General features: G+C 42.8%; 1 protein-coding gene across 7 annotated transcripts in view; it reads left to right on the top strand.

The window, feature by feature from the left end:
- ENTREP2 (endosomal transmembrane epsin interactor 2) overlaps positions 1-16,412 on the top strand; it is a 557,698-nt gene that overhangs the window by 388,873 nt on the left and 152,413 nt on the right. The gene's annotated exons all lie outside the window — the stretch shown is intronic.

The raw sequence follows: 16,412 nt of genomic DNA, 5'->3' as shown, positions 1-16,412 counted from the left end.
GGAGTTCACATTTGAGAGGGTGGACAGATAGTCCCTGTCCCTTGATGGAAGGTTCAGCCACCCACATTTTGGTACAAAAGGGCATGTAGGGGGGAGATTGCGTTGCATCCATCTTTGGGAAAATGTACCACATATGCTGTTATTTTCATTCTATTTTGTTATTGGAAAATAGAAATAAAGCTGATGTATGTCTATTAACCTTATATCGAGCTACTTTGATAAATTCAGTGAGTCTATTAACTTATCTTTACATTCTTTTGAATTTTCTGCATGTAGAATCACATCATTTGAAAATAAGATAACTTGGGGTTTTTCCCCAATCTTGTAACTTTTATTTCTTTTTTCTGATTGCACTGACTGAGACTTCCAGTAAAATGATGAAGTGATGATGGCAGCTTTCTTTGTTATTTCTTATCTTTGAGGCAACATTCTCATTATTTTACATATGATGTTTAATGGAAGTTGTTGTAGTGATTGTTTAAGTTCCTTTCTATTTCTAGCCTGCTAAATTTTGTTTTGTTAGTTTAAAAAAAATCATGAATAAATGCTGAATTTTATCATATGACTTTTCTTTTTTGGGGGAAGACCATATGAGAGAACTCCCTTATTCTGTTAATATGGTGAATTATCTTGATTGGTTTTTGAATGTTGAACCAACCTTATTTCCTTGACTGAACTCAGCTTGCTCAAGCTGAATCTCTTGATTCTGTTTGTTAATGTTTTGTTTGGGATTTTTTTATCGTATATTCATGAGAGAGATTGGTCTTTCATCTTCATTTTTCAAAATGTCCTTGACAGATTTTATATGGAGGTTAAACTTCCTTCATAAGACACAATGGGGATTAGTCCCTCTTTTGCTTTTCTGGAAACATTTATTTAAGGCTGGTGTTATTTCTTCTTCAAATGTTCAGTGGAATTTACTAGTGAAGTCATCTTGGCCTGAAGTTTTCTGGGAAGGGAAGTTTGGAATTCCAGATTCAGAAGCTCCTAGAATTATTCAAACTTTGTGATTCTTCTTGCATCAGTTTTTCTTGGTTGTGTTTTTCTAGGAATTTGCCCACTTTCTCTGTTTTTCAAATGTTTTGGGAAAGGCTGTATATAGTATTCTCTTTCAGTCTTTTTCATATCTGCAGGGAAGTGCTTTGCTATTGTTCATACTTCTGAGAGAGCACAAGAAAGCTGGTTTGGAAGTCCTGAGAGAGGTTGAAGCCCAGGGCAGGGGTACTGCCAGGCTGGTACTGACATGGAGAGCAAGAGAAAAGGAAGAAGCAAGTTCATCTCCTCTCCCCACTTTTCAGGCTCCCTCCATTGCCTCTTACTGGAAGAACCCAATAGAACACCATCTAACAAAAGAAAACCACAGCTTAAAGAGCCCCCACTCCAGCGTCAGGGAGCAGTGGATTTGAAATTGAGAAAACGTAGCTTAATTACCAGCACACCCTTCTGCCTGAATATTTTCAGTGTCCTCTTCATCTCATCCCACCTGGAGGAGAAACCCTGGGAATCATGTTTCTTTTCACTCCTTCGCCCTTGTCTTCTCCTTATTCCTGGAGTATGCTGAGATTGGGGCTAGGATCTAACTAAAATTTTCATTATTTCATTTCAAGAATCCTCAAGAAAAATTGTGTTATAACTTGCATTGACGTTACCATTGTGCATGAAGATTTAAAAATAAATATTACGAGATTCACTCTCACTGTTGATCACTGCACTCTGTCTTCTCCCTTGGACCCTTGTTCTGATCTGGCTCTTTGGTAGCGTATCCTGGAGTATTCACAGAGAGTATGCAGAGAAGCTGTGTTTCCTGACTGCAGGTCCAATCATTGATTTCTCTGTAGTTGCCTGGTGGAGGATTCCTCATCAGTTCTTTCTTCTCCCTAGCCACTAAATGTTAGCCCATGATCTATTACTTTCCATGATTGCAGGTGAGAAATGTGATATTAGACTGGTTATTTATTTTTGGTTTTTTTTTTTTTTTTTGAGATGGAGTCTCTCTCTGTCACCCAGGCTGGAGTGCAGTGGTGCAATCTTTACTCACTGCAACCTCTGCCTCCTGGGTTCAAGCGATTCTCCTGCCTCATCCTCCTGAGTAGCTGGGATTACAGGCCTGCACCACCACACCTCACTAATTTTTGTATTTTTAGTAGAGATGGGTTTCACCATGTTGGCCAGGCTGGTCTGGAACTCCTGACCTCAAGTGATCTGCCCACCTCAGCCTCCCAAAGTGCTGGGATTACAGGCATGAGCCACCGCGCCCGGCCCCTAGACTGGTTATTTCTAAAAGCAATGTGTTCTTCCTGTCTGGAAGCTTATATGATTTTCCTCCCTATTCTGGAAATTCAGCAGCTTTGTAAGGATGTGTCTAAATTCAGCATTTTCAGAACCCTTTCAATCTTAAGACTCGATTGGTTTTGTTTCTTTGGCATTTCTTTTTTTATTCTCTCATACTTTTGTTTTCTCCCTCAACTCCTATTATTTACATAGGATGCATCCTCCTGCATCCACCCTCCATATCTTGATCCTTAACTCGTGATTCTTAGTTCATTAACTTTTTATCTTGTGCTGTGGGATACGTCTTTCATTTTATCTTCCTAAAATAGTAATTTGGTTTTTAGTGGGGACCGTTCTTTTATACAGTACCTCTACTAAATTTTTAAATGGAAAAAGTTGAGCATTTGGAGTTTCTCTTAGGATCCAGGAACAACAAAACAATAAAAAAAATCAAGCATTTTTCTGTTCTGGCAGCATTTTTTGTGCTCTAATAATATCTCCTTATGAATTCTCATTGTTTATATTATATAGTCTATTTCTGTATCTGTCATTAGTTCTGCTCTGTAGTAGCCATCTGTTCTAGAATTTGGCTGTCTCCTTCCTTCAAACCACTGTCCCTCTTAGGGGGCACATGAGTTTGCTGTGCTGCATTGTTTTGGTGGGTGTGGAGTTTCCCCAGCGCTGGTTTGGGCCCAGCTGCAGGCTATGATAGCTAAAATCCCCCCCAGGCCATGGTGGATTGATAGAGATGGGGCCAGGCATGATGGCTTATGCCTGTAATCCCAGCTACTGGAAAGGCTGAGACAGGAGAATCACTTGAGCCCAGAAGTTCAAGGTTACAGTGAGCTATGCTCACACCATTGCACTCTAGCCTGGGTGACAGAGCAAGACTCTGTCTCCAAAAAAAAAGAAGAAGAGATAGAGGCAGATAGGGTGGGATTGTTTTCCCTCCGCAGTTGCACTGGCAAACTACACTGTCTCTTCTCCTTATGGTGAGGGTGGGGATAGTCTTTTCAGAATCAAGTAGAGCTGAATTGTCCTTGGTACTACCTTGCAACTTCTCTTTCAAGTGTGCAGGACAGGCTCCCTCTCATCTGCTCCAGAGCCCCCAGATTGGCCAGCTGACCCCACTCTGGCCTGGGATAGCTGCTTCTCACCCTGGGGTCTGCCAGAGATGCAGACTGTCTCCAGACTGCCTGACCTTTGGTCCAGAGATTCTTGCTGGACTCTGGTCTTTGGTCCCAGCTCCCTGTGTGAGCATGGCCCTCTATCATAGGCCATGGGGAGCAACAGTGGGTCAACCTCTGGACACACCCCCATACCAGGCATCACCAGTGACCACTGGAGGCAAGAGAACATCTGGCTGGTTGGCCCGAGGCTTTCAAAGCTCATCTGTCCCCTGGCCATCACCATATTGAGACCAGTTGTAGCCAAGAAACGGTTAAAGGGCAGACTTGGATGTGCTGGAGGAGTCCAGGCAACAAGAACAGACCGGTATGCCTGAAGCCCTCTACAGCCTCGGGTTAAAACTTCCTGTCTTCTTCCAAGCAAACAGGGGACCAAGACTGTAGCACATAGTGGGGTCTCAAGAGTCAGGGATCAGCGACAGGCAATGTGACAGGCATCTAAAATATTGAATTCATGAGGTGGGTGGAGAAGAGATGACTTGCTGGAAACGAGGAACAATTTGAAGAGTGCTAGGGAGCTTGTGGTAACTCCTGAGGTCCAGTGTGCAGTGGGAGAAAACTCCTTGATGGATACTCACAATGGACCACTCACTGAGGACAGGCATCATTCAAGTTAGGATGATGTATTAGTCTGTTTTTGTGCTGCTGATAAAGACATACCCAAGACTGGGTAATTTATAAAGAAAAAGAGGTTTAATGGACTCACAGTTTCACGTGGCTGGGGAGGCCCCACAGTCATGGCAGAAGGCAAAGGGCACGTCTTACATGGCAGCAGACAAGAGAGAATGAGAACCAGCTGAAAGGAGTTTCCCCTTATGAAACCATCAGATCTCGTGAGACTTACTCATCAGCATGAGAACAGTATGGGGGAAACCTTCCCCATGATTCAGTTATCTCCCGTGGGGTCCCTCCCACAACATGTGGGAATTATGGGAGCTAAGATGAGATTTGGGTGGGAACACAGCCAAACCATATCACATGATGTCCATGACATATGAGGATACATCTTTATAGCTTCCAAACAAATCCTGACTTTCTAACCTACAGACTTTAGTTATCTGGGCAAACCATAGACCCTCCCCCTTTCTCAGGTCCCAGGTAACATTGAAATATCTCTTTGCCTTAGAGAGGGAGGCAGACTACCAACCTGTAGTCTCACATTCTTGAGCTGTAGTCTACCTGAACTTGAGCAGCATTTCACGCTCACATTCAAATGTCTATAGATCTCAGAGACAGGTGGAGTGGGTTGGCACGGCTTCACCAGGTGAAGTCTGTTCCTCTTGTTGGGACTCCCTAGTCTACAGATGTCAGCTGGGAAGCTTTGGGGTGGCTTTTGGCTGCAAGTGATACAAACCAATTCACACAAGTTTCAATAACGAAGGAAGTTATTACGTCAAATGGCAAGTCCAGAGCGGGGTTGCCGCAGGGTTAGCTGGTTCAGCAGCCTCACAAATTCAAGGACCTAGAATCTTTCCAGCTTTCCCCTCTGCCAGTTTCGATGTGTTGATGTGGTGGCTTAGCTCTACTCAGTCATGAGACAGTTGCCCCTGCTTGAGGCAGTACATGCAGATGTCTGGTATGGGGGTCCAGTAGAACAGGAAAGTTTTCCTTCTTTTTTTCCTACAATCTTCTTTTTTAAGAGCAAGTAAACATTTCTCAGATGCCTCCAAAAATACCCCTTGCAACTCATTGGCCAGAGCTCGGTCACATGTCCACTCCTAAACCCGTCACTTATTATATAACCTCCACTTTAATAGGCTGTATCATTTATTTATACATTTAGAAAATATCATCCTTAAGTAAGACTAATCAAGTAAAACCATAAATGGATAATAAATTACAATGAGTTCGGCAGAATTTCTATAAATTATATCTAATAATCACACCTAGGCACAAAGGATTAAGCGTAACAGGTGTATTCATATTACTATGTGAAATTTCCCAATACACAGCTTTTAAATATCCAGAATAATAACCATGTTGAATTAGGTAATTTGCTTAGAGGTAAATGTGGAAGGAAAATAAATGCATGAGAGTATGAACCACTTGGATAATGATAAACAATTGAACAGCTCAAGAAAATTTCACGGGTACATTTTTAATGACTGATTGAATCCTAGGAAGCAGTTAATTCATTAATACTTGCTTTCCCAACCACCTCTCTCAAACGTGTGGGATTAATAAAGTCTTAAAAAAAAAAGTACTGCTTCTCAAAAAGGATGCCCCGGTTTATCCATGCAGATGAAGGGATGGTGTTGCCAACTTCAAGGGGCAGCAAACCATCAGAAAACCAAGCTCCTCCGCCTTTCATGCATTTTGAGGAAACGCCTTCCCATGGCGGTTCCCCGGCTGCTGGAAGCAAAGCTGCAGCCACGCCAGCTGAGACATCACCAGGCAGCAGGGTCCTTCTGCTCTCTTCCTTCCTGATGAATGTGATTCTAACCTGTGTGGGGGGGCATTGGCTGGTCTTTCATAACCCAGGTGCTGACATGTGTCTGCCAGGGAACATCTTTGTATTTATAAGGTTGCTATTTTTTCCTGAGGTTACAGAGTCCATTCTGTCTTCCCTGTATCCTGCCTCTTCCTCTTCCTTCCCCAGGCCTTCTTTGTACCTCCTTCTGTCCAACTGAGATTAAGCTTGTTTATTTCCTGGAATGCCATTCTTCTTTATTTTGTCTGTTCAAGGCTTTTGACAGCTCCACATAGCAGCCAAAGCATATCATGCAAACTCAAGGAAAGCAGCTGGGGAGAAAACCGAAGTTTCCTTTCACATTAGGTTTCTGGGGGCTCCTCACTCAGGGGGCCAGAGACTTTGTAACAAATGAGTTGGTCGGCCTGTCCTAGTGGAGTTGTCACTATGCTGAGCATGATTTACACGTTTTCAGAGAATGCGAGTAGAGATACGTCTTTTAATGATCTAATAGAACTGAACATTGTAGATTGAAATATTTGTTTTTAATCATGGGTACTTCAGGATCACATATGTACATAACTGAGGGTTTTTTTTACTGTGAAATGCGGATACATCAAAACGGAAATGTGAGAATTCTAGTTGAGCACAGGCTTTACTCATTTTAACAGTTTTTCATACTAAGGAAAGCAATTATCACATTTTTGCAATACCTCATTTTTTTTTTTCCAGGCGAGCAAAAGAAAGTCTAGATAAGAAATTGGGTTGCCCATGTACAAAAGGCACACCACCTGACTTTCTTGCTCCCTCCAGGTAGAAAGATACAACATGATTTCTCATGTTGATATAAAGTTTGTGAAAATAGTTTTTTGGAGGAGTAATAAATTCACTTGTCCATATTAACTAGCATCCCACTTATGTGGATCGGTAGACTTAATTTTAAGATGTCAGTACTACCCAAATTGATCTGCAGACTCAAAACGAGCCCTGTGAAAATCCCAACTGAGGCCAGGCGCGGTGGCTCATGCCTGTAATCCCAGCACTTTGGGAGGCCAAGGTGGGCGGATCACGAGGTCAAGAGATCAAGACCATCCTGGCCAACATGGTGAAACCCCGTCTCTACTAAAAATACAAAAATTAGCTGAGTGTGGTGGCGTGCGCATGTAGTCCCAGCTACTCAGGAGGCTGAGGCAGGAGAATCACTTGAACCCGGGAGGTGGAGGTTGCAGTGAGGCGAGATTGCACCACTGCACACCAGCCTGGTGACACAGCCAGGCTCCATCTCAAAAAAAAAAAAATCCCAACTAAATTTTAGCAGGAATAAACAAGCTGATTCTCAAATTCATATGGAGATGGAAGGGACCCAGAATAGCCCTAATAATCCTGAAAAATAACAGAACTGGAGCACTTATACTTTCTAATTTCAAAACTTACTAACACTCTGCAGTAACCAGGCAGTGTGGCGGTGGCACACGTCAACATACGTGATGGGCTGCAGTGTCTCCCCCAGAATTCAAAAGACTCAACCTCAGACTTACTGTGTGTGGAAATAAGTTATTTAAGTGGATTAAGTTAAAATGAGGCCTTTACAGTGGGGCTCTGGTCCAACAGGACTGGTATCCTTATAGTCAACAAAAGGAGGAAGAGACACCAGGGATGTACATGCACAGAGAAGGGCCAGCTGAGAACACAGTGAGAACGTGGTCATCTGCAGGCCAAGGAGAGAAGCCTCAGGAGGAACCAAACATGCCGACTCCTTGATCTCAGACTTGGAGCCTCCAGAACTGTGAGGAATCACTTTGTTGTTTAAGCCCCCAAGTCTGTGGTATTCTGCTGTGGCAGCCCCAGGAAACCAGTGCACATGTAGAGCAATGGATTAGAATTGAGGCTCCAGAAATAAATTCTTACATCTGTGGTCAACAGATCTGCAGAAAAGAGGCCAAGGATATCCAGTGGGATAACTGGAATGGGGTCTGTGCTTCTCCCTTTCCTCTGTGAGTCATGTTGTTGGGAGTCACTGAAAAAGTATGAGGTGGCAAGTAGCAAGAGGCCCAGCAGGTTTTGCTTTTATGGTCACGATGCATCAGAGGGCACACTGTCTACATGCCTTTTGAAGTACTATGAAGGGCCTCTTGGAGCCCAGGCCTCACAGGGGGCAAACTGCTGGCTCTCCCAACCTTGAAGCCTGGCAGCAGTTAGCCTGCCTCTCCCAAAGAACAACAGCCTGGGACAGGGTCTTGGAGGACTATTCTCAGAAAGGGGACAGCTGTGGACTCTCTCAGAAGGGAGACACGGGCTTCTGCCAGCACAGACCCCACAAGTACCACACAGTCCTTGCTTTTCCCAGGACTTCCTTGGGAAGGGGCAAGCCCTCTTCTCCGCATGCAACTTCATTGCTAAGCTCTCACTTGTGTCTCAGGGAGGGAGGAACCCTGTACTGGATCTCTTCTGCAGATCTTGGGGAACCCATGGCCTCTGATTACCCTCCAGTCCTGGAAGCATGCTTGCTGTGGTTATTAGTCCAAGGGAGGGAGCTGCAGTGGGGTGGGGGTGGGATCAGAGAGGCGGGGCCTGTGTAAACCCAGCTCCCCAGGACTCCTACAGTCACCTGTTTCTCTCTTTATGGTTGTTATCTCCCTCAAGACCACCAGTTATGTATACATGGGGTCTTTCTTGTCTGCCTTGAATATTTTTATTTTTTCTCTAATTTATTTTTTTTCCATTTCAACGTGTTCAGTTTTCTCATAACCTATTCGCATTGTCCCTGTCTGGATATTAGCTTTGTCAGCTCTCTTTGTGGACATACCTCTGTCCTGTGCATATATCTCTACTTTAGGCTAAAGCGTAGTCTGGAAGAATGAGGTTTCTGTCATCTTGCGTGGTATAGCAAGTGGGGAAGTGCTCTGGGTTAAATATGGAGAACACAGCCACTTTAGAGTAGGAGATGCTTTAAGGCAGGGGTTCCCAAACCCCAGGCTGTGGACCAGTACCAGTTCGTGGCCTGTTAGGAACCTGGCCGCACAGCAGGAGGTGAGTGGCAGGCGAGTGAGCATTACTGCCCGAGCTCCACCTCCTGTCAGATAAGCGGCAGCATTAGATTCTCATAGGGATGTGAGCCCTACTGAGAACTGCAGGCGGGGATCCTCAAACCACCCTCCCACTCCCGCACCTTCCATAGAAACATTGTCTTCCCCAAAACTGGTCCCTAGTACCAAAAAGGTTGGGGACCGCTGCTTTAATTTATATTCCAAATTGTGTAAAACTCCTTTCTGCAAAGGTAAATCACCAGATTGATTAGCTCATTTGTACTTTTTTTTTTTTTTCTTTGAGACGGAGTCTTGCTCTGTGGCCCAGGCTAAAGTGCAGTGACACAATCTTGGCTCACTGTAAGCTCTGCCTCTTGGGTTCAAGCGATTCCTGCCTCAGCCTCCCGAGTAGCTGGGACTACAGGCACCCGCCACCAGGCCTGGCTAATTTTTGTATTTTTAGTAGAGATGGGGTTCCGCCATGTTGGCCAGGCTGGTCTGGAACTCCTGACCTCAAGTGATCTGCCTGCCCCGGCCTCCCAAAGTACTAGGATTACAGGCCTGAGCCACTGTGCCTGGCCCATATATACTTTCCATATGGAAAAGTACAGTTCTTCATAATTTGTCTCTCCCTTACCCCTGTTGCCACCAACTAAAATGATGAGCACATTCCCCAACCACAGAACACTGGGAAGAAACATAACAAAAATGTCATATTGTTTTCAATTCACCTCTCATTATATTCAAAACTCCTCATTGGTTTTAACCTTCCCTAGCTCCAAAGTCTCATTTCTTACTACCCTTTTTTCCCCTGAATAATAGGATTGGCTACTGATTTAGCCAGACCTTGTTCACTTTCAAGTGACAGGAACCAACTCAAAGCAGATTAAGCAAAAGGAGATGCTTTAGTAATTCATTATCTCCAGGAGTCTGATCTTGAACTCAGCATCCAGGGATTCAAATGGCAGCATTAAGATTGTTTCCCATCTCTTAGATCTCTTTTGAGTTGGCTTCGCCCTGAGGCAGGTTTTTCAGAAGCAAGGGCACAAGTGGCTAGGCTTACATCACCCCTCAGCTTGTGAGCTCAGAGGGGCGAGAATCTGTCTGAATGTCCTGGAAGGATGCTGACTGAACTTCTGAACCAGTCACTGTGTCTGGCCTGAATCCTGTGCACTCAGGAAAGGAAGGCAGCCCTATACTAAGGTCTTTTAAAGGTGGGAAGAGGCTGTTTCTAAAGGGAAAGGATACAGAACAAAGGGATTAGAAACCAAGCAAACGAAGAGAATCTTAGTGACCACTATCAAGACCTTGGATGTTTGTAATTTTATAACTTAATAGGCCCTAATGATTTTCATAAGTAAAGGGCCCTGGATAACTGGAAGATGCATTTCTTGAAAAGAGAGTCTAAGACCAGGCTTCTGGGCCAAATGGCTGCAATGCTTGGAAAGCACTATCTTGTCAAGGCTCACCTCTCCACCCGCTTCCACCAGCCAAGGAAAACTCTGTTGCTGCTTCATCAAAATATTCATTTATGAGGGACAAAGTGTTATTAGGTAGTCTACCATGTGACCTAGGCAGGAGGGATCTTTGCTATGAATGAATATATATAACTGTTGTAAATGTGTGGACACAAGGGACTTTATTGCAACCATTAAGATGTCTGGATTGCTTTTCCTGCTGTCTACCCACCAAAATAGTATTTGCCTCCCAACTCCCTTGCTCACATGCTGCACATTGGCCCACTTTCTTCCACTGGAAAAGGCAGAGAACAGCTCATATGTGGTGGCTGCATGCTTTGATCATTGCCTTTCTTCCTAAGAAGTCCTCACCTGCTTTTAGCACTGTGTTGCTGTCAGAAAAATTAAAGCCTTTTTCTGATTCACAAGAAATACCATGAATGAAGAGGAGAATCTAGTAGATAATAAAGATGATTAGAGTTTCTTGGCAGGCATTTGCTATCGAAAAGACAAAATAAAACATTTAATTACTATAAACATCTAAAGAGCAATTTGTAGTAGGCATTTCCTTGTTCTTTGCACTTGAAATCTTAGCTAGCTTAGCTTTTGCCTCAAAGACTTTTGATTTTTTCTTTTGGGTCTAGTAATTAAAGCATGAAGGTCATTAACATAAAGTGTTTGAAAATGTTTTTCTTTTTTAACCACTTGTCTTTGTGACTTCACTGCCTGAACAGAAAGTCACAAATGCCATATTCGAATCACACTGAATGTATTGAACATGTGAATGTGCATAGCTGCTATGGCATAGTGTCACTTTGAAGTTAAACTTCATTGAAAATATATTTTTTATTCATCTCCCAAGCAAGAAAATCAGGGTTGATTTTTATTTTTAAAAGCAAATTAACTTTAATAGTACCTTGATATATATATTTCTTTCCAGCCCTTTTGATTCTTGTGTACATGTGTTTTGCTGCAGTGAACATCTTTCTCATCGTTCTACTGAAGGATGGCAGAATATGCTGCCCGCCCAAAATATGCCACTTTGGCATAAGGATTACTTTGAGCTAAAGGCACTTGAAAAATAGCAGATGCAAGAAGGGCATTTGAATTTCCTCTTTTCTTCCTGAAAACAGGAGATAAAAACTCCCATGTGAAAAATAGCTTTACTGTACCAAGAGGAAAGAAACATTACTCAATGGGGATTCAAAGCCAAGTGAATTCTGTACAAACAACTTCGTTAAAATAATTATCTCCCTTTATCCTCCCCACATAATTTACTTTTCCCACAATTACCTCTCTTTGTTCAACCAAATATAAAAGCATTTAGGTTTTGCCACCTCTTTCGGTCTTCATTTCCCTAACAAGCGCTCCTGTGTCCTGTAAAACTTAAATGAAGTTTGAATGCTTTTCTCCTGTTAATCTATTTTATATTAGTTTAAGTCTCAGGTCCAGCTGGGGCCCTTCGAGGGTGGAGGGAAGGTTTTGCCTCCCCTGCAGTATATACAACTTTGTGTAGTCCTCAAATATTTTCCTTAACAGAAATCCCTGGAAAGAAGCAAATTGTTATCAAACTACCCTGCCAGGCACTGTGCTAGGTACTGGGTAAACCTATCTCACTTAATCCCCTGATGCCAGGTTTAGGCCTCATTTTGTTGACTTGGAGACTTAAACCGGGAGGAGTGTCAGTATCGTACAGGTTTCTAATGTTAGTTCATCTGATCCCAAAGCCCTTACTTTTTCAAGGACACCATGTCTATGTTTGCTCTGAATCAGTATACAGTTAAAAGCCCACTCTCTGGAGGCAGATTGGCTGTGTTCAGATCTCACACCTACCACTTACTCGCTATAGAGCCTCAAAACTTAATAATCTTCTCCTGTGACAGTTTATTTGTGAGAAGAGAAACATAATAAATGCACATGCCTGATAGGTTTGTTGTGGGGATTAAATGAAGTCATACCTGTAAACCACCTGGAATAAGGTCTGACCCACCATTCACTTTGTATAGTAGTCCCCCCTTGTCTGTGGAGGATGTGTTCCAAGACCCTCAGTGGATACCTGAAATCGTGGACAGCACCAAACCCTAAATCCACAATGTTTTTCCCTATGCATAGATACATACTGTATTAGTCAGGGTTCTCTAGAGGGACAGAATTAATAGAATAGATGTATATATGAAAGGGAGTTTACTAGAGTATTGACTCACATGATCACAAGGTGAAGCCCCACAATAGGCCATCTGCAAGCTGAGGAGCAAGGAAGCCAGTCTGAGTTCCAAAACCTCAAAAGTAGGGAATCCAATAGTGCAGCCTTCAGTCTGTGGCTGAAGACCCTTGAACCCCTGGCAAACCACTAGTGTAAGTCCAAGAATCCAAAAGCTGAAGAACTTGGAGTCTGACTTTCAAGGGAAGGAGGCATCCAGCATGAGAGAAAGATGAAGACCAGAAGACTCAGCAAGTCAAGTCCTTCCACGTTCTTCTGCCTGCTTTTATTCTAGCCGCACTGGCAGCTGATTAGATGGTGCCCACCCAGATTGAACGTGGGTCTGCCTCTCCTAGTCCACTTACTGAAATGTTAATCTCCTTTGGCAACACCCTCACTGACACACCCAGGAACAATACTTTGCTTCCTTCAATCAAGTTGACACTCCACATTAATCATCACACGAACCTATGATAAAATTTAATTTACGCCAGGAGCGGTGGCTCACACCTGTAATCCTAACACTTTGGGAGGCTGAGGTGGATGGATCACTTGAGGTCAGGAGTTCGAGACCAGCCTGGCTAACATGGTGAAACCCCATCTCTATTAAAAATACAAAAAAAGCCAGACGTGGTGGTACACACCTGTAATCCTAGCTACTCGGGAGGCTGAGATGTGAGGATCTCTTGAACCCAGGAGGCGGAGGTTGCAGTGAGCCAAGATCGTGACACTGCACTCCAGCCTGGGCGACAGAGCGCAACTCCATCTCAAAAAAAAAAAAAAAAAGTTTAATTTATAAATTAGTCATAATAGAGATTAACAATAATTGATGAGAAAAATGAAATCTTAAGCCCTCCAGCTGACTGAACAGACCCCCTCTTGGCCAAGGGGACCCCGAATAACCTTGGAAACCCTCACCCGCTCTAAATGCCATTAGGCTTTCTTCCCTAAGAGCTAAACAGAAATCAGCCCTTTCAAAAGACTCCACTGCTGGTATAAACCAACCACCTGATGCTGCCCCTCCCTTTTGCAGTTTTGGCACAATTGACCAGCAGTTCTTCCTGGTAAAAGACCACCAACCATGGAGTAGTTCTGGCCAGTCTATGGAAGACATGCAGTCAGGGTTTTCATGTCCTCTACTTCACCTTTTGATGTCAGAGGGCTGAAAACTCCTACCCTGGATCATGCTAACACTGCCAATTTTGGAATATGGGTCCCAGGGAGAGACATGAAGTGCAATTGCGCATATGCACATTTCTCCTTGCATAAATGTTCATGACTCCTCCTATAGCTTATTAAATATGTATATTTGGCCACCCCATTCTGCATAGATTCCTGCTCCCTTTGCCCTCCCTTGAAGTGTCTGTTTCTGGCTTCTAGCATGAGGTTGTCTTCCTAGCCTGTTGGAATGGCCGCCCCGCAGACTGCAACCCTTTATGAGAAATAAAGCTCTTTCCAAATTTATGAACCTCGTCATCCTTCAGTTGACACTAACAATAAAGTAGAACAAATATAGTGTAATAAGTTATATTGTGGTTTCTCTTTGAAAATATCCTAATATTTTCGGACTGTGGTTGACTGCAGGTAACTGAAACCACAGAAAGTAAAACTGCAGACATGGAGATGGAGCAGCAACTACTATAATCATTGGCTGTTGTCGGTTATATTTATTGTTACTAATGTTAGTATTGTTATCACCACAGTTTCTCCCCAGACATCCATGGCTTCCAGTATCAATCCAAGGTGGAATGTGGGTCTGGATGACTTCTCCATGCAGGGCCTAAAACTTCATTCTAATACTCTTATTTTATGTCTGCATTTTCTCACCTGCATTCTTCTGGAAAGAGTGTAGAGAGATGTTTTGAGACTTAAAAACTGGTATCTCTTCTCCTCTATCTTGAGTAATGACAGTCTGCTATCTAGGTAAGCGTGCTGCTGGAGGACACTGCTGATTTTCACAGTGACAGGGGTAGTCTGACTGGTGGGCTGCTTGGTAACGTACATGAATACCTTAGCAAGAAAGAGCACTGAAAAACCAGCCCAACTGTTGACAATAGCTTTTATCTAATTTTCCACTTTCCCCTTATATCTCGGTCACTGAACTTTTTTGACTCAAGGCACTGTAGCAGGACGAGCCGCAGACAAAATCTCTCAGACACCGAGTTGCACAAGGAAGGGCTTTATTCAGCTGGGAGCATCGGCAAGCTACTGCCTTAAAATCCGAGCTCCCCAAATGCACAATTTCTGTCCCTTTAAAGAGCTCACAACACTAAAGATTTTACATGAAAGGGTCGTGATTGATCAGAGCAAGCAGGCGGTATGTGACAGGGGCTACATGCACCGGTGGTCAGAGAGAAACAGAACAGGGCAGTTCTGTTCTTTATACAATGTTCTTCTATACAATGTCTGGAATCTATGAATAACATCGGTTTCTAAGTTATGAGTTGATTTTTAACTACTGGGTTTAGGCCAGGCAGGCCCAGGCCTGGTTTTGGGCCTGGCGCTGGGCTGCCTGTATTTGGTTTTACTTCCTTGTTGTTTTTTCTTAAAACAGGTACTGAGTATAAAACAATATAAAACAATATGAGACGGTCTCTCTATTCCCTCAATACAACATCCACATCCTGCAGTAGGGACCTTTTGCAGAATTCTAGATGGCAGGAAGCTTCTATGAACCTAAGTCCAGATTTTAATTTGCAAGGAAACTGAAGCAGATGAATTTTCTCATTGTAAAAAAATGAATGCCTTGATAATATATTTGTTTTTCATAGTAGGCCTTTGTCATTAAAATTGATGCCTGAGGATATAGTTGCATCTTGTGTGGAACAGTAAGTTATTACTCATTGCATACCAGATTTTAGCATACTTGCATTAGTTCATGGAATATGATTTTACATTTACTATTGCAGTTCCAGTGCCATTATCAGATTGCATTTTCCTACTGAATTACAAACAAAAGTGTTATGCTACTAACAATTAACAAAATTTTAATAAGGTTGTGTTTGATGCTATTACTCAGATAATGTGTTCTAAATTGCTTTCCTTTGAATATATTTGCATTAAAGAGGAACTCAATTTGGTTCTTTGAAGAGTTTATCCACTTTCTGGGTAGCTTTAAAAAGACACAGGGAAATTCAGTTTCTTCTTTGCAAGTAAATAGAGAAGAAACAAATTTGCTAAGATCTGTAGAAGTCATGGCAGCAGACTGCTGATGGTTTGAGTTAATGAAATGACTCATTTTGGCTACTTGAGTTGCACAATTAAAATATACAGTAGAGACTGTATATCACATCATAGATGAGAGATAAATCCCCCAGTGTTCTCTTTTTTTTCCTCAAAGCTAATATATTATGAATTAAGAAATTTAAGAGCTCCACATTATTGCAATTCTTGATCAGTGATGCCCCAAATTAAGTAGTAATCTCTTGAGAGTGCACGTTTGTTTGCAGCATTCCTCTTACCCATTTCTGCTAAAATTGTGGTTGTGACGAAAGCAGTTGTTTTCCAAAAGATAAACCCATGTGACCAAGCTAAAACATTTACCTAATACTGACACGTTTTTTGTGGTCTTCTCATAGTTGTCTAGCTAAAGGAGTTTAATGCAGAGAATATAAATACGGAAATAGTGAAACTGAAGTCCTGCTTGCGCAGAAAGCCTGCAGCCGACTTTGGTTTTTAACAGACTCCACGGGGCATTAGAGAAAGTAACTGGGGGCAGTGGGATGGAGGGTATGAAATTGGGTGGAGGGACGAAAACTAAGAGCCCTCTGGGTCTTTTATGTCCTTCTACATTTTGTGTAGAAATAAATGTTTTTACTTTACTTCCACGGTCGGCCCTTCCTCTTCACCTTTTTTTTTTCT

Source organism: Homo sapiens, chromosome 15, assembly GCF_000001405.40.
Source record: "Homo sapiens chromosome 15, GRCh38.p14 Primary Assembly".
Taxonomy (NCBI): Eukaryota; Metazoa; Chordata; class Mammalia; order Primates; family Hominidae; genus Homo; species Homo sapiens.
The sequence above is the reverse complement of the archived record's forward strand: the minus strand, read 5'-3'. Positions and strand labels throughout refer to the sequence as shown.